A 27,187-nucleotide genomic window follows, 5' to 3' on the forward strand; every position below is an offset into this window, starting at 1 on the left:
CTCAGCTATAAAAAGGTAACTAACGTCACAGAGGAGCAGATGCCAAGGTCCAAATTTGAGCACTTCAGGGTCAGAAGAGGGGTTGATGGCTGAGTGCTCAGGGATCCTTCAAGAGGAGGAGGCTAAGGCCAGGCCTCAGAAGCTAGAGAGGTCAATGTAAAAGAAGATTAGCTTAATAGCTGTTGATGGCAACTTGGTTTTCAAAACAGTATATGCATTAATTATCATTCAAAAAATTCTGAATTCTTATCAAAAATAATTTTAACAACCTTTTTTTTTTTTTTGAGATGGAGTCTCACTGTATCGCCCAGGCTGGAGTGCAGTGGCATGATATCTCAGTTCGCTGCAACCTCTGCCTCCCAAGTACAAGCAATTCTCCTGCCTCAGCTTCCTCAGTTGCTGGGATTATAGGTATGTGCCATGATGCCCGGCTAATTTTTATATTTTTAGTAAAGATGGGGTTTCACCATGTTGGCCAGGCTAGTTTCCAACTCCTGATTAACATACATTTTTAAACTGAGATAGAAGTTTTCCTGCATATAGCTGCCCAATGGTTCTATGATGGATACCATCCCAATGAGCCATTGGCCATTAAACTTTCTAGCACAATAAGAACTATCAGTCTCAGTCATGGTCTTACCTTAAACTGCAGGAGTGTTACATACAGCCTTGGGGTACTCTAGATAAATACAGTTGCCTGAGATGAATAGACGGGGGTCTGATCTGGTTTTGAATATATATATATATATATATATATATATAGTATATAGTATATATTATTATAATATTATATATATTATAACATTATAATAATTATAATCATTATATTATATATATTTTCTATATAATATAATTATAATTATTATATTATAATATTATATATATTATATTTATATTATATATTTATTTATATTATATATATAAATATAATATATATAAATATATATTATATATAAAATATATATTATATATAATATATATTTATATATAAAATATATATTATATATAAAATATATATTATATATAAATATATATAATATATATAAATTTATATATATAAATTTAGATATATTATAGATATATTTATATATAAATTTAGATATATTATAGATATATTTATATATAAATTTATATATATTATAGATATATTTATATATATAAATTTATATATATTTATATAATATATAATATATATTTTATATATATAATATATATAATATATACATATATAATATATAATATATATTATTATATATAAATAATATATATTATATATTATATAAATTATATTATATATACTGAATATATATGTATTCAGTATATATATATTCAGTATATATATTATATACATATATATTCACATATAAATATATAGAACAATTCTTATATATTTGTTCTATAAATATATAGAACAAATTCTTATTTATTACCAACAAAATCAGAAAGATTAGAACATACAGAAAAGCACAAAGAAACTAGAGATCACCATAACCTTACAATTCAAAGATATCCACCGTTGATGGTTTTAGTGCATTTAGTTTCAGTTCTCTCCCTTAACCTGTCTTAAGTTAATGCTATCAGGCAGTCCACTCATTTACTTTGACTATTTAGTTTACAGTTTCCATGAGAAGGCAGAATGCTCATTTACAAACCCCACTCACGCTCCCCCAACCCTCCCCATCTTTCAAATTCTGTATCCATCTATCTATATACTCATTTCTCTTTACATCCATCCATTATCTATTTTTCTATATATCTAACAAACATATGTTGTCTTCCCTCCCCCAAGATTCATTGGGGTATAATTGACAAAATAAAAATTGTATATATTTAAGGTGTACAATATGATGATTTGATATATTTTTGCATTGTAAGATGATTACCCCAACCAAGCTAATTAACATATCCATCACCTCACATGATTACCACTTTTTTGTAGTGAGAACACTTAATATCTACTATCTTAGCAAATTTAAAGTACATAATACAGTATTATTAACTGTAGTCACATGCCATGCAATAGATCCCCAAAATTTACTCATCTTTTAACTGAGAGTTTGTACCCTTTGGCCAACATATACCCATTTTCCCCATCCTCTAGCTCCAGGCATCCCCTGGCTCCTACTCTACTTGCTGGTTCTATGTGAGTTCAACTTTTTCAGATTCCACATACAAATGAGCTATTGCTGTATTCATCTTTCTATGTCTGGCTTATTCCACTTAGCATAATATCCTGTAGGGTCATCTCTGTTGTCACAAATGGAAAGATTTCCTTTTCTAAGGCTGAATAATATTCCATCATATACATAATGTATTTTTTCTTAATCCATTTATTTGTTGATGGACACACGTTGATTCCACGGCTACTGTGAATAATGCATAAGGGTGCAGATATCTCTTCAAGATACTAATTTCATTTTCTTCATTTTATTTCATTTATATATCCTGAAATGGGATGACTGAATCATGTAGTAGTTCTACTTTTAATTTTTTGAGAGACCTCCGTACTGTTTTCTATAATAGCTGTATCAATTTGCATCCTTGCCAACAGTGTGCAAGAGTTCCCTTTCCTCCACACCCTTGCCAACACTTTCCCCACACCCTTACCTCTTGCCTCTTTGATAATAGCCATTCTAACAAGAGTGTGGTGATAGCTTGTTGCAGTATTGATGTTCATTTCACTCCTTTTAAATTTGTTTGGAAATAACTTCAAATGTATAGAAAAGTTGTAAGAATGTGACATTCATAAAAAGGGATCATATTATATATTATGCTTTATAATATTTTTTTAATAATCTAGAAACTCTCCTTACATTCAGGCTTCTTGCTTCTTTTACAATTTAATGTGAATGTTAATGAGTGTTTCAGTATTTGGAGCTAAAACTAATTTATTTTTCCAATCCCAATCTGTCCCTTCCTTTCTTCTTCCTTCCCTCTCCTTTCCTTCTTTCCTCCTTCCCTCCCTTCCTCTCCCCCCTCCTTTCTTCCTTCTTTCTTTCTTTCCTTCCTAATTTAACTAAGAACTAGAGGAAACTATTTTTACAATACCATATTTTGAATTTGGAGATAAGATCCCAAACATTTCATTGAATTTCTTACTATCAAACTTCATACTTTAAGAGAAAGTGAACCCAACACTTTGGAAGTTTTACTATTTGGAAGCATTGAAGCTTCTTCAGTTATCATCCCCTTAATTGTTTTTCTTTCCCTACCTGATCTCTGAAATACCTCTATCATTTAAAATTTCAGTTTTAAAGTTTCTTACTACTATTACTAACTTACCCACTCTGGGTTTCATTCTAAGAATTCCATAACCTTCACTTTTCTTTCTATTTCATATCTATTTGAACTAAGCAGAGAAGATATATAAAGTGTATTTTATGATTGCAAGACATTGAATTATAGGCATTGCAATAGCATTTCCAATATACATGTTCCCCTTCTTCTTTAATAAAATAACTCTCATTTTTTTTCTGAACGAATTACCATCCAGTTAAAGTATAACATTTCTAGGTATCTTTTGTAGCAAGGTAAAGCAAAGCTAGTACAGTTTGACCAATGAGAAGTGAGTGGAAGTGTGCTACTTCTAGGAGGCCCTTAAAAGGAAGGAAGTTGGCCCTTCTTTTGCCTTTCCTTCTTCCAGTGAAGGGAGTTCAAACAGTCTTCTTGCATTAGAAAGTTAAAGCCATATGCTAATAATGGTGGAGCAGTAGGGAGAAGATTCAGTTCCTACTGCCCTGGAGACACTGCCACTGTACCTCTCATGTGACAGACAAAGATATTTATATTTTACTTAAGAAATTATTTTGTAAAATTTAAAATGATATGTGGCCAAATCTCATCCTATCTAATACAGCTATTACATGCAAATGTGTGTGTGTGTGTGTGTGTGTGTGTGTGTGTGTGTGTGTGTATGCATGTAAAGTTCAGGGATGAAGAAAGTCTAGAATATTCAAAGAAACAAACTTATTTCCAGTCTTGGGAGCAGGCTATGCACCATAGTAACAGTCAAGCCATCTTTTATATGTACTATATAGTTATATATGTCATTCTATGTATACTATATACATATAATAGATGTATTTACTTTTGAGAATGCTGGAAAATATTTTCAAGTGTTAGAATTTTATAATAATTGTAGATTCTGGGTCATATTTTAGTTTTCTGGGGCCTTTAATGAAGTCAGAGAAGTAAGCTCATTGGACCTTCTGATGGTAGATGACATTTTTTTAACTTATTTATACCCCATGCTCTTCACATTGAATCCCTTTTTTCTTTATGACAGACTTCTAGGTTCAGTGTTTCCACTTTGTTCTCAGGATTGTAAGGAACCTCAGAGAGGTTAAGGAACTTTTTTCTAAATTCTAACATCTAAGAAGAAATAGGCAGAAATAAGATCCTACTCCCTCCCCAAATCATTCATAAAGGAACACACATTTCCTGAGTATTTAGAATGTAATGTGCACATTGCTGTGCAAAACACAAATGAAAGCTAAAACAAATGTTTATCAAAAGGAGCCAGAAGGCTTAGAGGAGATACAAACTAAAGGACAAAAAAAAAATATGGACATGCGATACCAGACCAGATTTACTTTCAGAGCCAGCAAATTCCAGATAAGAGTATAAAGTGTGGGATGAATCTCACTAGGATGGCTGCACTGGGGAAGCTGCGCAGCTGGGCCTGCGAGTAAGGATGGGGTTGAAATAGGAGAGGATGGATGTTTCATGGAAAATCTTATTGGGATAAAAATATGGAAGTGGGAATGAGATCAGCATGGGTGTGAGACAGTGAAGAAATTGCCTAAGCAGAATTGTGGGAGCAGATCCACCAATGCTGAGGAATCAGGTAGAGCTACAGGGTGAGGCCGGGTTTGCAGGACCCTGAGAGTGCAGCAGCAGGTTCGAGGCGAGGAACTCATGGTGTCCAGAGATAGCTCCTTCATTTATGGTTAAGGAACCAAGGCATTTTCATTTCCTACTTTTTAAATAAATTGGGCATTCCTTGTTGACTCAGGTTTATGATAAATAAAAAAAGAAATTGACTGGCTTAGAGGTTTTAAAACATTCCAGACTTTGTTTATACAGGGAAAGATTTTTCAAAGGTCAAACTTGAACTGCTGTAATCACCTTTATATATCCATGTTCAGTATTATTCTAGTTCCATAAACAAGCTTAAAATAGGAGTTGATAATACCACCAGATTTTAGAAGGGGAAGAGCTTCACATTTCTCTATATCTACAGCCAAATGCATTTTTTTCAAGCAGGGTCAGTATTTCTGGAGAAACTTTGCATTTTATGGAATGGGTTTAAGCAATTCACCAGAAATGACTCCAGTTCTTTTTTTACGTAGAGTCAAGAATGGGGCTGTAGGAGTATATACATTCACATGAAAAGTTGCTTACAAATATTATATGAAAAATAGCATACTAAAATAGTAGTATGAAAATAGTAAAATTCCATTTTTAGATTAAAATATGTTTATAATATTTTTAATATTATAATATGCATAGGAAGGATACATGGAATATATAGCTATGGTTTTCTCTAGGGACTTGAAGATGGTTCTTCATTTTCCTTTTTGTGCTTATCTATGTTTTTAAATATTCCCACAAGAAATATGTATTCTTTGTGTAATTTTTCTTCAGGTTAGTATCTAAGGACATAAGAAGTGGGGCACACATGGGGTGCTAAAAAATGGTTGTGTTTTAGGGCAGGATCAGAAAGGGATTTTATTGTTATGGGAGAGAGATAGGAAAAATAATGCCAATAATTTTCTTTAAAAGAATGACATGACAGCAAAATTATAACCCAGTGGTTCTCATGTATATATGGTTATGATGACTTTGGATAAGTTACCCAAACTTCTGTGGGCCTTATTCTCCCATATATAAAATGAAGACCTGGGCACTCTTTTTTATTATTATTATTATACTTTAAGTTCTGGGATATATGTGCAGAACCTGCAGGTTTTTTAGTCCTGGGTATTCTTAATGTCTCTTCTAGCTTGAAAAAAAATTACTGTGACTGATACCTTTCTCAATAGTCATGGAACTTGAAGTAACTTCACCCACCTTTCCACCTCATACTGAAAAGGTTCTGATTCTCACCCACAAGCCCAGAAAAAATACATATTATATAAGAGATGAACTTAGCCAGTCAAGTGCAGCCACTAGGATTCCCTTATAACCCAAAAGTTTTTTAGGCCCTGGGATAAACTGAACTGCTACAATTGCTAAGGAAAAGTCAAGTTAATTACCGGATTTTCTACTTTCAGGCAGAATTATACTTTCCTGTACAAATTCCCTTTCCCTTTTGTTTCAGCAAAGTTCCTCATCCTTGGATGTATGCCCCAGTGGATTGTGCTTTGCCTTGAGGACACTGTTTGGCAAGGTTTAGTTCACAAGATGAGTAGATAATGGGAAATCAGTGTCTCTACCCAGCACCTTTTTGTATTTTTTCCTTATAACTTTTCTCAATTGTTATTATATCTGCCACTTATCATACTAAATCTTCCCACTCTTCAAAGTTTAGCATTCAGTTTCCCCAGGAAGTGTTATCCAAACTATTTTTTTCCACGGTACCCACTCCCCTGTAGGAGTTTTCATGCACTTATTTCCAATCCCACACAATTGAACACCCAAGCTATCCTCTTGTCTATGTTATCATGTACTTCTCTGTGCAAGCCTTTTTACTTTAGCTGGAATATGAAGACCTCAATAACAGAGACAAATTCTTTAACTTTTCTCACTGTCTAAGTAATGCCTGGTATATTGTTCAGGTCAGAGAAGATGGTGATGGTAAAAGAAAATTTTGATTGATGAAAGTCACCAATTTTCTTTTACATTTTTATTTTTATTTATTTTTTTTTTATTCTTTGAGATGGAGTCTTACTCACTCTGTTGCCCAGGCTAGAGTGCAATGGTGCCATCTCAGCTCACTGCAACCTCTGCCTCCCAGGCTCAAGCAGTTCTCCTGTCTCAGCCTCCCGAGTAGCTGGGATTACAAGTGTGAGCCACCACATCCGGCTGATGTTTGTATTTTTAGTAGAGATGGGATTTCACCATCTTGGTCAGGCTGGTCTCAAACTCCTGACCTCAACTGATCCACCCACCTTGGCCTCCCAAAGTGCTGGGATTACAGGGGTGAGCCACCACACCCCGCCTGAAAGTCAACAATTATTGATCAAGTTTACTTTTGCCAGGTATTGGAATCCAATATAGTGCCTGCGGCAGGTACAGAAAAAGACCAACATATAAACCTAAAGTTCAATCTCATGAATTTTGTGATTCAGGAAAAGGGGGCTTTGCCTCTACCATCACAAATACCACCTCACCTCTCTCCTGATACTCCAGTAGTAGCCTTGTGGAGACTGGAATAACTTGGGCTTCTTGAAAGGCGTAACATGAAGCAAATCAGTAGAAAAGTAGCAAAAAAGCAAGATATCTGAATGCCTTGAAAAATCAGAAAAGAAAGAAAAGGTCATGGATTTTGGACTATGATAGAATTAGAACACTGAAAGATGTCTTAGAAATAATCAGTGAAGTCATCATTTTATAGAAGAGCAAAGTAAGGCTCAGGGAGTAACTTGCTTAAGGTACATAGATGGTAGAATCAACACCAAAATTATGTCTCTGGCCTCTGAAGTCCAGGATTCTTCCTAATCTGATCATAACTTATTTTTAATACAGCATTCTAATGAAAGAGATGCATTAAATAACTGTATTCATTTTCTACCAGCAAGCAAAGTGTCCTAGAAGAAGGAAGAATATGCAGTGGAATGTTCCAACTCCCCTAGTTCCCATGATACACTGCTTTCCTCTCTTCATGCCAGTAGTATGGTTCCATTTTTATATTCCACAGTTCTAAAATCAACACTAAGATTAGAACTAAACAATCAAACCAAAAGAACATACCACTATTTCAACTTTTGGTTAATATTAGGAATGACTCATGAGATAATTCCTGAGCACTTACATTATGTGATACAGGAGTCCTCTGCACAAGTGGGCTTAAAATCCTTCATGAACATTCTCTAAGGCCTAAAAATATGTTTGTTAAACAATCTTCTAAAATAGTGTTCTTAACCTAATCAGTTTTACCAATGTTACATCATTGTTGCACTTGGTTGTGTGTGGTCCACTGGAAATAGTGTAGTCATCTAAGACCTAGGCAGGCCAAATCCTCTTACTGATTCTGTCATGAGAACAATAGTTGGAGAACATCCATAGTTATTATTATGCAGTTGATGTGATGAATTCAGTTGTTAGTTGTTGAGATTGTCTACATCTTTAGAACATTTAGGGAACTAAAGAGAGACTCTTTTGCTGGCCACTGACTCTTGTTAGCTTGGTTTGGGTGAGATAAAGTATCTAGATAAGCCCTTGCTTATGGCATTGACTGAATAGCTTATTTCACACCTATATAATAAGACATTAATTTTACTTCTTCACTAATTGATTCAGTAAATCAGCACTCCATGAGTCATCACTATAGAAACAAACAGCAAACATTCTGTTTTTTCCCACTGAATCTCCAGAGGGGGATTAAAAAGATTTTCAGAGGAAAGACTCTAGAGTCCCCAAGTAAACATTTCAGAAAGTGGCTAGAGTGACATTCTCCTGCAAGTCCTTTACACCAGCTTGACTTATCCCCCAAAAAGTAGGATATGGCTATTACAATCCCCATTTGCAGATGAGAAAAGTGAAGTTCAGAAAGTTTGAGTAATCTGCCTAAAACCACCTCTAGCAAGTGATGGAGTTATAGAGCTAAGTGCGGTGTTCACATGTTCAAAGCTCATGAAATTCCTGGCATATTCCACTGCTTGCCTTACACAAACAAAACAAAATGAAACAAAATAAAAAAAACAGATACACTTGACTGTCATTAATTCTCATAAAATTATAGAGGAAATGCAAACACATCCCACTTTCAAAGCAGAGCAACTTTAAAAACCTCTAGTATGCAAAAACTAAACGTGATCATCTGTCTTATCAGGTCAACAGTTTGGTCAAAGTAGGCAATGTATGTACATATGATATCTGGAGCTTATTTTAAGTTTCTGGTAAGTCTGTGTAAATATACCATTTTGGAACTGCAAGGCTTATGACAAAGGATTATCTTTCTTTTTTTCAACTTTAATTTTAAGTTCAAGCTTACAAGTGTAGGTTTGTTACATAGGTAAACTTGTGTCATGGAGGTTTGTTGTACAGATTATTTCATCACCCAGGTATTAAGCCTAGTACCCATAAGTTGTTTTTCCTGATCCTCTCCCACCCTCCATCCTTCAGTAGGCCTCAGTGTGTGCTGTTCCCCTCTGTGTCCATGTGTTCTCATCATTCAGCTCCCACTAATATGCGGTATTCAGTTTTCTGTTCCTGTGTTAGTATGCTAAGGATCATGGCCTCCAGCTCCATCCATGTCCCTGCAAAGGACATAATCTCATTCTTTTTTACAGCTGCATAGTATTCCATGGTGTGTATGCACCACATTTTCTTTATCCAGTCTACTATTGATGGACATTTAGGTTGATTCCATGTCTTTGCTATTGTGAATAGTGCTGCAATGAACGTACATGTGCATGTGTCTTTATAATAGAATGGTTTATATTCCTTTGGGTATATACCAAGTAATGGGATTACTGAGTCAAATGGTATTTCTGTCTTTAGGTCTTTGAGGAATTGCCACACTGTCTTCCACAATGGCTGAACTAATTTACACTCCCACCAACAGTGTATAAGTGTGGCATAGGGTTATCTTTCTCTTTTCCCTTTGTACCAAAGCCTCATCTTTTATGTTATAACAGTATTTCTCAAACTGCATATTGATGTCAATAAGTGCACAGAGAAAAAAAAATAAAACAAAATTTTGAAAATATGTTCAGAAAACATTGGAATACATGTAGTATGTGTTTCTCTGCTTCAGAACTTCTCAAGACCTTAATATGTTAGTGCTCATGGACTGGTTCCCAAGTGTATTTGACCACAGGACCTTTTCTCTCTCTCTCTTTTTTTTTTTTTTTTTTTTGAGGAATACATCTGTAACCATCTTATGTCTACTGGAACATGCTTTTGAAAATACTGCCCATTTCAACGTTAGTTTCTTGGAGACCCTAAAGTCTCAGAATTCCCGAGTTTTGTAGAATATACGATAGTATCTGCATATATGACTATAAACCTTGTGACTAACTTATAACTTAAGAAAATCCTTCCAAAATGTACTAAATAGATTTCTATTAGCATAAGTCAAATAAATATATACAGTGCTTGTTAAGGAAATCTTCAACAACAAATCTAGATCTTTCCATAACTGGTCCTTTCCTATCACTCAGGAATTCTCTGACCATCCAATCTCAGCCTCTTTTTGCCTCCTTCACATTCCTTGAATCAATTTTTATTACATAACCCTGTTTAATTTTCCTCATAGTATTTATCAGTATCTGAAATCATTTTACTGTTTTGTCTTGACTTAGAATCTAAGACGCATGAAAGTTGAGTCATTTGTATTTCCAACAGCTACTATGGTGCCAAGTACATATAGAATAGAAAGTTATTTCATTCATTCATGTATTCATTCATTCAACAAATATTTACTGAAAATTTCCCATGTGCCCAAAACCATTCTAGTTCTAGATCCAGCAATGAGTAAAACAGACATCAGTTTACTCCTCGAATTGTGTGTACATTAGATTTGTTTTATGTAAACAAGACTTTGCATTCCCTTTGAAGGTGGCATGTTTTAAACCAGTGTAGTTATTATTTAAAATTCAAATTATTAATAACTAATTTACCTAATTTTGTAAACATAAATTTTCATATGGCTTGTTTTTCTGTAGTTTGTAGTTATTTGTTTAAAATCAAAGAGCCAAAAATTTTATGTGTATCATCTCTTTTAATCCTGACAACAGACCTGCAGAGTGGAGACTATTACCTCCATTTGATACATGAGGAAAGTGGGGTTATAGAAATAACTTTCCCAAGACACTTAACTGGTAGATAGGTAATATCTGAATATAAGTCCAGTAGATTTGAAATCAAAGCCCACATCCTTTTCTACCACATCCACTGCCTACTTTGATATTAGTATAACCCAACAGTTATTAATAGAGAAAAAAGCAAGAAGCACCAAAAAAATGCCTTAAGTCAATGGGTCCCTTGTGTTGCATTTTGTGACTGTGTGAATTCCCTCTGATTCTTTGCATTTGGACTCCATTTTGAAGTTCTGGGCAATCCATCTTATTACCTCCCAGCGATCCATCAGGACCACAGGCAGGTGTCTGCACCACCTCAGAGGTAGTGACTTCTATATTTCTGACAGTTACTGTCTTCCCGGAGAATAAGGCCATGTGGTATATTTTGTTGCAAGGATGCTGCAAAGGGAAGATAAAACCAACAAAGGAGCTGAAAGAAATCAAAGAAAAGAGGACAATAAGGAGAATAAAGACAAGTTCAAAATAAGCTAAATTTAGAAATCGCTTGAAGCTCCATTGTTCGAGTTACAAAACTTGTCTTGCTTTCCAGCAGTCCAAGTTCTGCTGACTTGATGTGTGACCTTACCAGGTCTCCTTGCCCTTCTCGGTGTCAAGTTTATGACACTATGGAGGGTGAAACCAGTCCTGGGCTGCTGAACTCTGGCTTCTTTAATGTGGGATAATGAACCTGGTATGTTTACATAATTGTTATTTGGGATTTTTCCATTATATACAGCCAAATATAATTCTAATTGATACAATCAGTGTATGTTTTTAGTATTTAAAAAGCTACATTTGAAAAAATCCTTGAGAATTGACAAAATATTCAAAGAATTTCAAAAGTGGCAGTATAAATACTTATGAGGAAAAGAATACTAAGGAAGAAGGAAAGAAGAGAGGAGAAGGAGGGAGGTTGATCAGACTGAGGATGAGGAAGAAGGAGGAGGAGAAAAAGGAAGAGAAGAAGGGGGAGGGGGGAGGGAAGTGGAAGAGGAAGGAGGAATTAGATAAAGAAGAAGATAAAGAAGAAGGAGAAGAAAAAGAAGAAGGAGAAGAAGAAAAGAAGAAGAAGAAAAGAGGAAGGAGAATAAGAAGAAGAATAAAGAAAAGGAGGAAGAGAGTGGAGAAAGGGGAGGAACAATAACAGCAAGAAAAGGACAAGAAGGAAAAGATTCCATTCAAATGTAGACTGAAACTCCTTCACTGACATTTAAATCATATTTGCCAAAATCTTGGTAACTGTGGAGCTCTCCTTATTTATAGAATACAATTTTTCCCAAAGATTTCATTATTACATTCTTCTAGCATTCCCATCCAAATCCATAAAACTAAGGCTCAAAGTTCCTACTGCATATATTAGATTGGTGCAAAATTAATTATTTTTAATGGCAAAAACTGCAATTACTTTTGCACCAAGCTAACAATGAGCCAGTAACATTTTTCTCTTTTAAGCTAACTTGATCAAACCCAGAGAGGTCATTCATTAACTCAATTTTATCAATTAATACTAATCTAAGTATTCTGGTAATGTTTACAAATGAACCTTCTTTTCACTTTCCTCACTGAGGCCAAAATCTTCCTGGGGTTTGTATCTGACTTCAATATTTTCTTCAAGCTTCATGTCAAAACTGTTTCTCTCTGTCCCTTTGATCCCTCCCATCTGAAATAGGTTGGCCCTACCCTGAGAGTCTACAGGTCCAATCCTATCCACCAAAGACTGGTTAGAAGGTGCTTGTGGAGGATGACGGCTATTCCCTAAAAGAAGACTATAAGGCTTGCCACACTGATACTTGGCTAGGGTGTATGACTTGCTTTGGCCAATGCAAGTGGGACAAAAAGAAAATGTGAGAAATAGAAAAGCTTCTGTTCACTCCCACTCCTTGATTAGAGAAACAGTCTCTGGCAGAAGGAGAGAAAATATGAAGGGAAAATAAAGAAGAGAGGTCACAGGGGAAAGAGGAGGCGGCATGACCTGAAGGGAACAGGAAGAGGACCCAGGTCAGTGTCTGAGGATGGCCCAGCCTCTATTTCATCAATATCTCCATTGGCCACAGCTGGGGACAAAAGGAGGAGCCATCGTAGTGCCCCAGGCTACACTTTGGGAGCCCTGTACTCAACTGCCACACTAGCTTTCCTTCCTGCTGGCACAGGATGAAGATTTTACTTCAGCAACAATGGCACTTTGCCTGTTTATCAGTAGGTGTGATCTTCATTTGAGCCCTGTATCTTTGTTTCAGCCAAGATCCACTTGCTTTTTGTGAATAATCCCCTACCTTATCCTCCACCACCTGCCAGCTGCCTCTACCACTCACAACACTCAGAGGCCCTCAGGACCCAGCAAGCTTGCAGGATAAAGCTAAATGGTAAGGCGAAGCCTTCCAGGCTTGGGTTTTGCATGGGCTAAACAAATTCAGCCCTAAACTGTCACCATGGTTGAATATCCTGCTGTCATTCTCACTATTTGTTAAGCCTGAGCTTGCTCCTCTGATGCTCAATCTTTTGGTTTAGCAGCTGTCTTCAGGTTCATGTTCCTACATGTGTCTCCCCTTCGGTAACTGACCCTTGGCTTCATTTGCAGGTTCCAGTGCCTAATATGACTACACAAAACCATTTCATTTCCCTTCATATTGCGGTCAGCTCAGTCCTGGATCAGCCATCCTTCTCCACCTGGCAGCCTTTTTGCCTTCTGCAGATGAGCTTTCTTTTTAGCACAAGAATTAGAGAGGAGCTAATCAACATTGAGCAATTCACAATCACAATGTTGTATTCTTATTTTCTTCTTTACTGGAGAAGAAGCCAAAACAAAAGAAAAACAAATTGTTACAGAGATTCACATGTGAAATCTCCTGGTTTTGCAAGTCAGAGGGCAGTCAGTCTAGCATCCTTTGCTCCAGCCCCATCCTGTATTTGGCTTTTGAAGCTAGTGCTTGTGTTGTTATTAATTTGCACCAAAAGGATGCTTAGCAACAATCAAACATGATGTATTAAATATGAAACTACTTTCTGAAGGAGCTCAGAATCACAAAACAAGCTCGTTGGAACAAAGCTCTTGAAAACCCATGTAAATAGAACATAAAAATCTGAAAGATACATGACGATCATTTCACCACATTCCATTTATTGGTGAATAAGCTAGAGTAAATCAAATCAATTAAAGTTTTAAACAGGTCTAAATTAATTTGTCTTCATTTCATTTTATGGTATTTGCTCTCCAAACTGAGAAAACTCAGTTTAGTTTTCTTCATGGCATGGTAACAGAAATAATTTTCAAGTGATGTTGAGGCTTATTTAAGTCTGATCCAAATGACAACATAGCATTTAAATTATGTTATATAACTCTTATGTAAACGTACAAGATAAGTTATCTGCTGGAACTAACAACTTCCAAATTTTAGTGACTTAACATTGTAAAAGTATATTATTTCCTATTTTTACATTTTAATGTGGGTTGTGCTGGGAGGAGGTGACCCTTCTCCATACAGTCATTTAGGGATCCAGACTTTTTCTATTTGTTTCTCCACCATCCCCTGTAGCCTGAGAACCATCACTGAATCCATAATTCCTGCTGGTATGTGGAGGAAGAAAACAGAGCAGTGCATGGAAGCTTTTATTACGGGCCGGCCAGTCCTGGAAGTTAGTTGTGCATCACTTTTGTCCACATTATTGGTCAGAACTCAGTCACAGGGCCACACCTTACTGCAAAGGAGCCTACAAAAATGCAATGCTGCCTGTCTCCAGAGGAAAGGGGAGTCAGTTTGGTGAGAAAGTTTCAGACCTCAAGGGATTGGAAAAGGCTCCTTGCTCAGCAAAAGAAAACCAGAGATGGAAGAAAGTGTCTCTGTATGAAAGAACAAAGGCACAAAGCAAGGGATCTGCAGTTTTCAGCATTAAAGAAAACATGGATAATAACATTTTTAAAGGGCTGAGAACATGTCTCAGATGGGTTCTGGAAGGTGTAGATGTGATGCCCACCACTAAGGGGTAACCCAACACTTCAGTCACTCTCAAATATTAACAGTAGCAGTTATTTCAGCATCTATTATGTTTATAATGTTTGTGCTCTGTTACTTCCACAATTTTTATATTTAATTTTATTTATATAATCTTATGATAAGAATGTATGCCCCATATTTCAGAAAGTCCTGGGAACACTTGTGGTGTGTGTGTGTGTGTGTGAGAGAGAGAGAGAGAGAGAGTTGGTGGGAGTAATGGATAAATGTTGAGAAGGGAAGCAGGCAGTGAGCTAAAATATTCTAGTGAAAGCAATATTTCATAGCAACTAATTGCCTCAGAGAATTTGTGGAAGGTTGAATAGACTCTTTTATCCAACTATACTATCAAGCATTAGAAATGGTAGTTATTGCCTACTGATGTCTATTTTGTTGGAAATATATTGAAATCTGTAGCATCTACTGCTCTTACCACTTTCTACATGTCAATTCATAATTCTGAAGATTGGCCCTGTGGGATAATGGAATGTTGATGGAATTCAGTGGATATTTTCAGAGTAAAATCACTGAAGAATCTTGATAATGTGACTAAGAAGCTAGAAAAAGTGAATGCTGCTTATTCCTGTTTAAGTTTCCTTTCTCTGATTATATATTATTGACGGCACTGTAGAAAGTATGAAAACACTTAGAGAAAACAGATTTTTAAAGTAAAAACTAAAAATGCACTAAACCATCCTCCTGGTGGACAGCACTGCTCCATGATATTTTAAAAGTCTCAAATACATTTGGGCTTAGAAATTACTGGAAGAGATCATTGTCTCCTTAGTGTTTAGAGATGTGGGAATTTGAAAGCTATCAATGCAGCATCTGAAATATCTCTATCTGACTCACACCCTGGGGGAAAAGCGCTGACAGTGTCTATACAGGAGGAAGCAGAGACACAGTTAAGAGCACAGATTCTGCAGCCAAAATGCCTGCATTGATTTCTGACTGGCTATCTACTACCTGTGTGACTTTAGGCAAGTCACCCGACCTCTCTGTGTCTGTTTCCTCTTTTGAAAAATGCAGATAATATTAGTAGCTATCTCAAAGGCTTGTAATAGGTATGTGATGTTAGGCAGGCTCTTGGGAGGGATATAGTCCCTCTGTAATAGGGACATCCTTGAGGGCAGGGTGCATTCTCTCTCTGTCTTTCTCTCTGTCTCTCTCTGCCTCCTTCTCCCATCACTTCAGTGTCGACATTCTTTTGGTTCATTGTAGATAATAACCGGATGAATGTTCTCAAACATAGTCTCTGGCTTTCCATGAAGCTGCCTTGAATGACACATTATGCTATAGAGAAAGTTCAGCAAAATCTCAGTGTGTAGAGTCTTACAAATTGAATTATCGTTTTAGGGCTCACCTAAAAACATTTTTATGATGTTTAATCCATTTGTGTTTCCAACCCTGACCTACAGGGGACAATGCCTTGCTTTTATTTTTTACTTGTTTTTCTTTTTTGGCTAGATGGCAGATTAACAGAGGATGGGAAAAGAATGCCAAAAATGCAACTTGGGGACTAAACCACCATTTTCGTCTTTTATGTTTAGTTTTGATCTTGACCTCCTGGAGCATTTTCATGGAAAAGGCAGTTCCAGGATTCTTTGTGGCCTCTTCCACAGGAGAAAGTAAAGGAGCTAGAGGCCTCTAAAAATTTAGTTATTGAAGAACTGAAGTTATTCACAGCAACCTGGCAGAAGAGAATGTGAAATACGTGGGTCTCAGGTAAGAGGCTTGTTCATCTAGAATGGTGAGTGAGAATCAGGATGTCTGAGACTGACAAGCAGAGTGGCAGCAGTTCCAGCTACTGGAGAAACACAAAAATAGGATTCCAGAAAAATGACAACTAGAAGTTTCCTGGGTCTGACAGTGTTGAGAGCTGCAGTGAATAATGACTTCAATTTACAGGAAAACATAAATAGAAGGGGTCTGGAAGTTGATCCAGAAATGTTTTTAATCATTATTGTGTCTTATAACTGTATGACACTTTATCAGCTACAGAATTCATGAAGTGACTGGATGTAAGCAGTAGGGTGAGGTAGCAGGTATCCTTGTTTTGTAGGATAAGAACTGCGGCTGGGAGACTGAGTAGAAACAGAGCTAGTAAATGGATTAGCCAGAATCAGGATGGAGAGGTTTGGGTCAAAATTAAATGTTCTTTCCACTGCTCTGAGCTGCCTGGTACTTTATCTTCTGCATGACAAAAGGTGCAGAAAGATCTATAGCAGTGACATTAATGCCACAAATTCTGCTTTCAGTGGGCACCTACTGATGCGACACACTTTGTGCAACCATATATGTAGAGCAATCATAGAATGTGACACATGTAGGGGGTCTGAGAACTCCTCTATTATAGCCCAGACTTCTCAGTTACTGAGGAGAAAATCCTTAACGTGTGACTCAGGGAACAACAGGAAGTTGGGTTAGAGCTTTGTTCCTCTATTCCTACTATGCAGTCCAGGATGGAGGCCTTCCTTCTTTATCCTAGGCACTCCCCACAGGAGAGGGGCTGGTCTCTCTTCAGTGTTGCAAAGGAAAACATTGCCCTAGAGCTCTTTTTCTGTAGTGAAAACCATTCTTCCATTTCTTCCGATGAGGAAATAAAGTTGAAAAATTAAACAACATTCCTTATTTCTATCAGCGTAGGTAACTATAAGAATCTCTGGTTTCTTACCTAAACTCACTCAATAAAGTATTGCAAACAATTTCAGAATGCTTATTTTATGAATCAGTTTATCACATTTCTTGGAACTGAGGACCAAAATCAATATTTCCTTGTAAGTATGTTTCTTATTTGTTCTTGAAAGTAGAAAAGTAGTACATATAAAGTACTTACACAATACCGGATACAAAGTAACAATCCATGTTTAGTATTATCTTTAACTCACTCTATAGCATCACTCTATCAAGACATATAAACCTTCAGAATGCACTACTATAGCAATTTAGTTGTTCCATTTGTTCTTTCCTTTGCTGCACTAGAAGAGTAGAATGTAACGATTTCTATTACTTTCTGGATATGTTTGCCATGTAAGCCATTTCTGTCCACACGATTTATTTATTTTGAGATGAAGTTTCACTCTTGTTGCCCAGGCTGGAGTGCAGTGGTGCCATCTTGCCTCACTGCAACCTCCACCTCCTGGGTTCAAGTGATTCTCCTGCCTCAGCCTCCCAAGTAGCTGGGACTACAGGCATGTGCCACCACGTCCGGCTAATTTTGTATTTTTAGTAGAGACGGGGTTTCACCTTGTTGGCCAGGCTGGTCTCAAACTACTGACCTCAAGTGATCCACCCGCTCTGGCCTCCTAGTGCTGGGATTACAGGTGTGAGCCACCGTGTCTGGCCAAACATACAATTTAGATAGGCTGTGGTTTTTAGAATCCGTCAATACCAACTTTTAAAGATCAAGGAGAATTGAGTTACAGAGACACCACAGAGAAGCCTGAAGAAGCAAAGAGGGGTTTTCCCTAGACTAGCAAGATCTTCCACTAGACTGGCAAGAGATGAGATGGCTGAGCCCTAGAGACCTGAGTCCCGAAAGGTCTGATGGAACTGTGAGACCAAAAAAGTCAGGGCAGAAGGGAACGCAGGCTCCAGTGTTCCTAGCCATGCTGAGTGAGGCCTAGAAACGACAGGGCACCATGGGATTTCAATGGACTGTAATGATGACAGAGGCAAACTTGAAACCCTGGTGAATGGAGGTGCTTGTCTCTCTTTCTAGGTAATAGGTAATATCCCTAATTCCACGGTGATGCTGAGAAGCAGAGGGCGCCCTCAGAAGTAGTTTCTCTTAAGGAATTTGCAGCTGGCCTACAAGAACAGGACCACAGAATCAGGTCCTGTAAAAGGGTATGTAAAAGTTGTATTTTTTGCACATCTGTCTTGTATTCTGAGTCACACTCCTCTCATTGATTATCCTTCACAATAGCCGTTGTTTTAACAGCGTTATGGAGATAAAGTTGAGATGGCATATAATTCACCCATTTAAAGTATAAGATTCAATGGCTTTTAGTATATTCACAGAGTTGTACAAGTGTTACCACAATCAATTAAAAAATGTTTTGGTTACTGTAGCCTTGTAGTATAGTTTGAAGTCAGGTAGCGTGATGCCTCCAGCTTTGTTCTTTTGGCTTAGGATTGACTTGGCGATGCGGGCTCTTTTTTGGTTCCATATGAACTTTAAAGTAGTTTTTTCCAATTCTGTGAAGAAAGTCATTGGTAGCTTGATGGGGATGGCATTGAATCTATAAATTACCTTGGGCAGTATGGCCATTTTCACCAAAACAGCATGGTACTGGTACCAAAACAGATATAGATCAATGGAACAGAACAGAGCCCTCAGAAATAATGCCGCATATCTACAACTATCTGATCTTTGACAAACCCGAGAAAAACAAGCAATGGGGAAAGGATTCCCTATTTAATAAATGGTGCCGAGAAAACTGGCTAGCCATATGTAGAAAGCTGAAACTGGATCCCTTCCTTACACCTTATACAAAAATTAACTCAAGATGGATTAAAGACTTAAACATTAGACCTAAAACCATAAAAACCCTAGAAGAAAACCTAGGCATTACCATTCAGGACATAGGCATGGGCAAGGATTTCATGTCTAGAACACCAAAAGCAATGGCAACAAAAGCCAAAATTGACAAATGGGATCTAATTAAACTAAAGAGCTTCTGCACAGCAAAAGAAACTACCATCAGAGTGAACAGGCAACCTACAAAATGAGAAAAAATTTTTGCAGCCTACTCATCTGACAAAGAGCTAATATCCAGAATCTACAATGAACTCAAACAAATTTACAAGAAAAAAAACAAACAACCCCATCAAAAAGTGGGCGAAGGACATGAACAGACACTTCTCAAAAGAAGACATTTATGCAGCCAAAAAACACATGAAAAAATGCTCACCATCACTGGCCATCAGAGAAATGCAAATCAAAACCACAATGAGATACCATCTCACACCAGTTAAAATGGCAATCATTAAAAAGTCAGGAAACAACAGGTTCTGGAGAGGATGTGGAGAAATAGGAACACTTTTACACTGTTGGTAGGACTGTAAACTAGTTCAACCATTGTGGAAGTCAGTGTGGCGATTTCTCAGGGATCTAGAACTAGAAATACCATTTAACCCAGCCATCCCATTACTGGGTATATACCCAAAGGATTATAAATCATGCCGCTATAAAGACACATGTACACGTATGTTTATTGTGGCACTATTCACAATAGCAAAGACTTGGAACCAATCCAAATGTCCAACAATGATAGACTGGATTAAGAAAATGTGGCACATATACACCATGGAATACTATGCAGCCATAAAAAATGATGAGTTCATGTCCTTTGTAGCGACATGGATGAAATTGGAAATCATCATTCTCAGTAAACTATCGCAAGGACAAAAAACCAAACACTGCATGTTCTCACTCATAGGTGGGAATTGAACAATGAGAACACATGGACACAGGAAGGGGAACATCACACTCTGGGGACTGTTGTGGGGTGGGGGGAGGGGGGAGGGATAGCATTAGGAGATATACCTAATGCTAAATGACGAGTCAATGGGTGCAGCACACCAGCATGGCACATGTATACATGTGTAACTAACCTGCACATTGTGCACATCTACCCTAAAACTTAAAGTATAATAATAATAAAAAAATAAAAAATAAAAAGTGTTCTTTGCAAATTTCAAATAAACAATACCATAAGATTAACTATAGTCACCAGGTTATACTTTGGATTGCCAGAAATTATTCATCTTATAACTGAAAGTTTGTATCCTTTGAACAATATCTCCCAATTTCTCCCACTCCTCAGACCCTGGCAACCACCATTATTTGTTAAGAGAGTAGATCTTGAATGTTGTCAACACTCACACACACACACAACTCTGTGAGGTGATGGATGTGTTAACTTGATTGTGCAATTTTTCACAATATTTACATATATCAAAGTAAAAAAATGTTAATTTCTTTCCAAAGAAACCCAAGGCCCTTAGCTGTTACCCACTCAATCATCCCATTCCGCAGAGATCCAGGCAATCACTAATCTACTTTCTCTCTTTGCAGATTTGCTTCTTCTGGATATTTCATATAAATGGAATCATATCACCTGTGGTCCTTTGTGTCTGGCTTCTTTTGCTTAATGTTTTCAAGGCTTGTCCATGTTGTAGCACTTATCAATATATCAATATGCTGTATTTTTCTTTTTAAATTAAGACTATATATTTTTGGAGCAGTTTTAGGTTCACAGCAAAATTGAGAGGTACCGAGATTTTCCACATATCCCCTTTTATCTCTTTTTATTGCCAAGTAAAATTCTGTTGTATGGTTATACCACATTTTATTATCCATTCATCTGTTGATGGACATTTGAATACTTTTCACTTCTTGGCTATTATGAATAGTGCTGCTATAAACATTTGTGTTTTTGTTTGAGTAGCTGTTTCAAGTCTCTTGGGATATACCTAGGAGTAGACTTTCTGGATCATATGGTAAGCTCTATGCTTAACCAGTTGAGGAAATGCCAAAGTGTTTTCCAAAGCAATTGCCCGATTTTCCATTCCTACCACCAGAGGATCCCAATTTCTCCATATTTTCACCAACACTTGCAATTATGTGTCTTTTTAATTATAGCTATCCAAGTGGATGTGAAGTGGTATCTCATTATAGCTTTAATTTACATTACCCTGATGGCTAATTATGTCAAACACCTTTTCATGTGCTTGTGCCTATTGTCTATTTGTATGTCTTCTTTGGAGAACTGAATTACTTTTCAGATTCTTTGCTCATTTTCTAAAACTTGGGTTGTCTCTTTATTTTGAGGATCTTTCACTTTCTTAATGATGTCTTTTGAAGTACAAAAGTTTTTTAATTCTGATGACATTCCAGCTTATCTATTTGGTTGCTTGTGCTTTTGATGTCACATCCAAGAAATCATTGTCTAATCCAAGGTAATAAATATTTTCACCTATGTTTTCTTCCAAGAATTTCATAGTTTTAGGTCTTATATTTATTTGATTCATTTTGAGTTTGTTTTTGTAATATGGTATAAGGGAAGGGGGTGCCACTTTATTATTTTGCATAGGGATATCCAGTTGTCCCACACTCTTGAATTAAGGTTATATTATGCCTATTTAGTCTGTGAAGAAACTGAGGCTCAGAGAACTAAAGTGATTGGCTCACTATCATATGGAGCTAAATGGCCAAGCCAGAATTTGAACTTGAGTCTTCCCACAATGCAACCAATATTCTTTCTGTTAGGCTATAGCTGCTGCCCTATTTCTATTTCCAACCACAAAGAACTTAGACATCAAATGGATTTTTTAAGCTATTTTTAATTATTATTTTCCTTATTTTGAAACATAAAGAAAAAATGAGATAAGGGTCCATTTTCATTCTTCTGCATTTGGATATCTAGTTTTCCCAACACCATTTATTGAAGAAATTGTACTTTCCCATGGTGTGTTCTTGACATCTTCTCAAAAATCAATTGACCATAGGTAGGTGGGTTTATTCTGGAGCTCTCTATACTACTCCATTTGTTAATGTGTCTGTTTTTATGCCAGTCCCATAGCATTTTGATTATAGCTTGTAATATATTTTGAAATGTGGTAGTGCGATGCCTCCAGCTTTGTTCTTTTTGTTCAAGATAGCTTTGGCTACTTGTTTTTTGTGGTTTCAAATAAATTTTAAATTTTTTTCTATTTCTATGAACAATTATGGTGAAATTTTGATAGGAGTCACATTGAATCTGTAGATTGCTTTGGATAGTATGAATATTTAAATAACACTAATTGTTTCAATTCATTAACATAGTATATTCTTCTTTTCTTTTTTTTCTTTCTTTTTTTTTTTAGGAGACTCTTACTCTGTCACCCAGGCTTGAGTGCAGTGATGCAATCTCGGCTCACTGCAACCTCCGCCTCCCAGGTTCAAGTGATTCTCGTGCCTCAGCCTCCCGAGTAGCTGGGACTACAGGTGCACGCCACCATGCCCAGCTAATTTTTGTATTTTATTTTTTTAGTAGAGATGGGGTTTTGCTATGTTGGCCAGGCTGGTCTTGAACTTCTGACCTCAGGTGATCTGCCCGCCTTAGCCTCCCAAAGTGATGGGATTACAAGTGTGAGCCAGTGCACCTGGCCTATTTTTCTATTTATTTGTGTCATCAACTTTTTTCATCAATGTTATATAATTTTCAGCATATAGATCTTTTACTGCCTTGATTAAATTTACTCCTATGTATTTTATTCTTCAATCCTATTGTAAATGGAATTATTTTCTTAATTTATTTTTCAGATAGTTTGTTGTTAGTGTACAAAATGCTACTGATTTTTAGAGGTTGATTTTCTCTAATTATCAGACAAATAAATGCAAATTAAAACCACAATGAGATATCACCTCACATCTGTTAAACTGGCTATTACAAAAAAAGATGGAAGATAACAAGTGTTGCCAACGAAGTGGAGAAAAGAAAATCCTGTACACTGTTGGTGGAAATATAAATTAGTACAGCCATTTTGAAAAACAGTATGGAGGTTCCACAAAAAACTAAAAATAGAATTACTATATGATCCAGCAACCTCATTTCTAGGTATATATCCAAAGGAACTTAAATCAGTATGTCTAAGAGATATCTGTGCTCCCTTGTTCACTGCAGCATTATTCTCAATAGCCAAGATATGAAAACAACTGAAGTGCCATCAACAGATGAATGGATTTTTAAAATGTGGTACACACACACACACACACAATAGAATACTATTCAGCCTTTAAAAAGCAGAAATTCTGTCATTTGCAACAACATGAGTGAATATAGAATGCATTATCCTAAGTGAAATAAGCCAGGCACAGAGAAACAAATACTGCATGATTTCACTTACATGTGAAATTTTTAAAAGTTGAACTCATAGAAGGAGAATAGTGGTTACCAGAGGCTGGGAAGGTAAGGTAACTGGAGAAAGAAGAAATGTTGGTCAAAGGGTACAAACTTTCTGTTAGAAAAAATAGGTTCTGGTGATCTTTTGTACAGCATGGTGACTGTACATGGTGACATGTTAATAGTAATGTATATTTTTAAATAGCTAAAGGAGTGGTTTTAGATATTATCACCATAAAGAAAAGTATTTAAGGTGATGAATATGTTAATTAGCCTGATTTAATCATTCCACAGTGCATACTTGTATCGAAATATCATATTGGACTCCATAGATATATATAATTATTATTTGTCAATAAAACTTAAAAAAATAAAATAATAGTCCTGATCATCATTCAGGAAAAGGTCTTTAATTTGCAACATATTCTAATGAGCTAAATATTCTTCCTATTTGTATATGTTTGCATAAGATATCGATTAGTGATCTAATACCAAGAAGAATTGTTTTTCTTAAACAGAAATATGTTTATGACAGAGTTGGTTAAAGTCACCTAATCAACAATATTTGATATTTGTTTTATATTTATTATGTGCTAGGCTTTGTGTTACAGTACTAATTCAAGCCATGGCAACCCTGAAGAGAATATCTTAGTAGCTCAATTATAGTCCCAGGGCTTAGGGAGATAGGGTAACTTGCAAAAGTATACACAATCAGATGCAATAGAGTTGAACTTTGAATGCATAATATTGGATATCAAAGTTTCTATTATGAACCTCTGTGCTTTACTCTCTGTAAGAATAGGTATGATGCTAAGGACACAGTTGGGTGCCTAATACATGTTTTTTGCTTTTGAATGTCTCATTATGTGAGTTAAATAACCTATATGACCCACTCAGAAATCATTTTGTGTGTGGATTCTTTTCTATATAATAAACCAATCAATTGCTTAGAAAATAAAATATAACGGCCAACATATAAATTTGACTACAATGTTATGTATGACTTTAAAAAAATTATTGTATAGCATATCCATAAAATCATTTTGGTATAATCATACTGACACCATCGAGGTGGTATTCAGCTTGCTGAAACTTATTCCTGTAAATAAAATCAGATTCGAGAAAAGAGGACTAAAGACATAGAAAGAGAATAGAAACCAGAGAATTTCATTTCCAAGGTTGTTCAGGTAGGCTAGTTTATGCTGTGGCAACAAACGTCAGTGTGTCTCTTCCATGCTGCATGTCCAGCGTGGGTTTTGAAAAAGGACATTTTCTTTCTCGCTAACACTCAGGGACCCAGGCTGATGGAGGCTCTGCCTTTCTGTTGCTGCATAGCTCCGCTGTTATGGCCACAGAGGAAGAAGATAATAAAGTCAATTTTTATCCATATGTCTACCTTGCATCTTGAAATCGACAAACATCACCTCTACTTATAGCCCATTGGCCCAAAGTAGTCACATGACCCTGTATAACTGTCAAGGTGCTGGGACTGTGGGGAAGCACCTCACATTCTTCAGGCACTAAATGTATCTGTCACAGAGAGCTTATCTAGTCCACTGTCTTTCAAAATGTGCACCTTTGAAACATAGGGCTTTGCAGAGTTGTGTAATGAGTCCTGGAAATAATAAAGTACAGTCAACTAAATAATAAACATGAAAACCACCGGATGGATTTTATCAACTGTTAAGTGCTTTTTTATTAGAAGAGCTATAAATTATTGTGTCGTGGAAAGAAGGAAAAGTTTTGCAGCCAACAGAAGTTGGGAATTCACTCATGTGCTTCATTTTTTTCTGTTTTCAAAGAATCATTCACTTAAAAAATCTCACCCAGATTAAAGCTGTCTTGACCAGCCACTTAACATCCTGCAATGTCTTATAACATCCTGCAATGTCTTATAACATGATATTTCTCCTGCTTGTGTTTTAGCTTCATAAGCAATAAAGCCAGGATGTTAAGCTGGTATTTCTAATTACGTATTACAATTCTATACATGCTAGTTTTCAACAACAACAAAATCAAAGGAAAGTTCACATGTGTTGTGAAGCAACCACCATACCCCCTCTTCTAAGACTCTCTTTTTTTATAATTCTCTGCAAAATTCCAAGTTACCTGAAAACAAAGCTTAAAAATAAGGCTATTCTGTATCTAGCTGGTACCTGTCTCCACCAGAAGAGAAAAATCCATAAGTCTTCTTTATCTTATAGTCCATTGGGTCTCTACTGATCGGGATTACTTTTGTGAGAAAACAAAGTAGAATGCTACTCCAAAAAAAAAAAAAAAAGCAAAAAAGAAGCCAATTGCTGTTAATATGTCTATTATATTGTAGATATAAACACATAGACAATGCATGCTATAATATATCATTCAAATTTATAACACTTGTTCAACGTTTACGCTTACATGCCCTTCCTAAAAATATATATTTTATCAGATTTTTTTCCCTTAAAACAGTGAATGACTCCCTCCCACATCTGGTAGGTCTCATTCTAGGCCAGTTTATGGCACAGTTCCCATAAGGGGACAAGGATCTGGAGAAAGAAACTGAAGAGGAAGAAATGCTGAGGAGCACACAACAGTACTTCTCTTTTCTCTTTCCTTTGTAATACAGGCTACACAACAAACTAACCACTTTTTGAAACATTTTTTATAGATATAGGTTCTTGCTATGTTGCCCAGCCTGAAGTGCACAATCACTACACACTACAGCCTGGAACTTCTAGGCTCAAGCTATCCTCCCACTTCAGCCTCCCAGATAGCTGGGACTACAGGCTCACCCCACAAACTAACCACTTTTTCCCTGTGAGTTAAGAGAGAACTAAATGAGTAGATCATGATGACAACAAGGTCAAGGTGCTATCTCTTGCAGCTAATAGTTTTCTCTTTATGAAGAATGCAATTCTGTTTAATGTTTTGAGGACATGTTCTGGAATCAGAGTCCATGGGTGCAAATCCTGCCTTTGCCACTTACTAGCCATGTGATCCCAATTAAGTCACTCAGTCTTTCCAAGATCCAATTCTCTCATTTTTAAAATAGGGATAACAACAACAACAACAACAAAACCTAACTCATTGGATTACTGTGAGAATTAAATAAGTTGAGGGATGAAATGGGCTTAGCCAAGTACCTGATACATAGTTATTGCAAATATCAGGTAAGCACTCACAGTACCTAGTTGCAACTTTATATTGCAAAAGAGGCATTGAAAGGGTAGAAAAACAGTCTTGAATTGCAAATACCACCCCTCCTCTACCTGCCAGCAGCAGTGGTGTGATACAGAGAGTGTCTCTGGGCTCTGGGGTAGGGAGAGTGCAGCACTTGTGAGGCATTGAACTCAGTGCT

The 27,187-nt window shown here is 36.4% G+C and overlaps 1 long non-coding RNA gene across 1 annotated transcript in view; it reads left to right on the forward strand.

The window, feature by feature from the left end:
• Positions 1–19,776, forward strand: part of RCAN2-DT (RCAN2 divergent transcript) — a 41,435-nt gene extending 21,659 nt beyond the window's left edge. Inside the window, exons 2-3 of the long non-coding RNA NR_125837.1 lie at positions 16,507–16,681; positions 18,678–19,776. This is a non-coding gene — a long non-coding RNA (RCAN2 divergent transcript). The remainder of the gene's footprint in view (positions 1–16,506; positions 16,682–18,677) is intronic.
• Positions 19,777–27,187: the final 7,411 nt, after the last annotated feature.

This window comes from Homo sapiens, chromosome 6 (assembly GCF_000001405.40).
Source record: "Homo sapiens chromosome 6, GRCh38.p14 Primary Assembly".
Taxonomy (NCBI): Eukaryota; Metazoa; Chordata; class Mammalia; order Primates; family Hominidae; genus Homo; species Homo sapiens.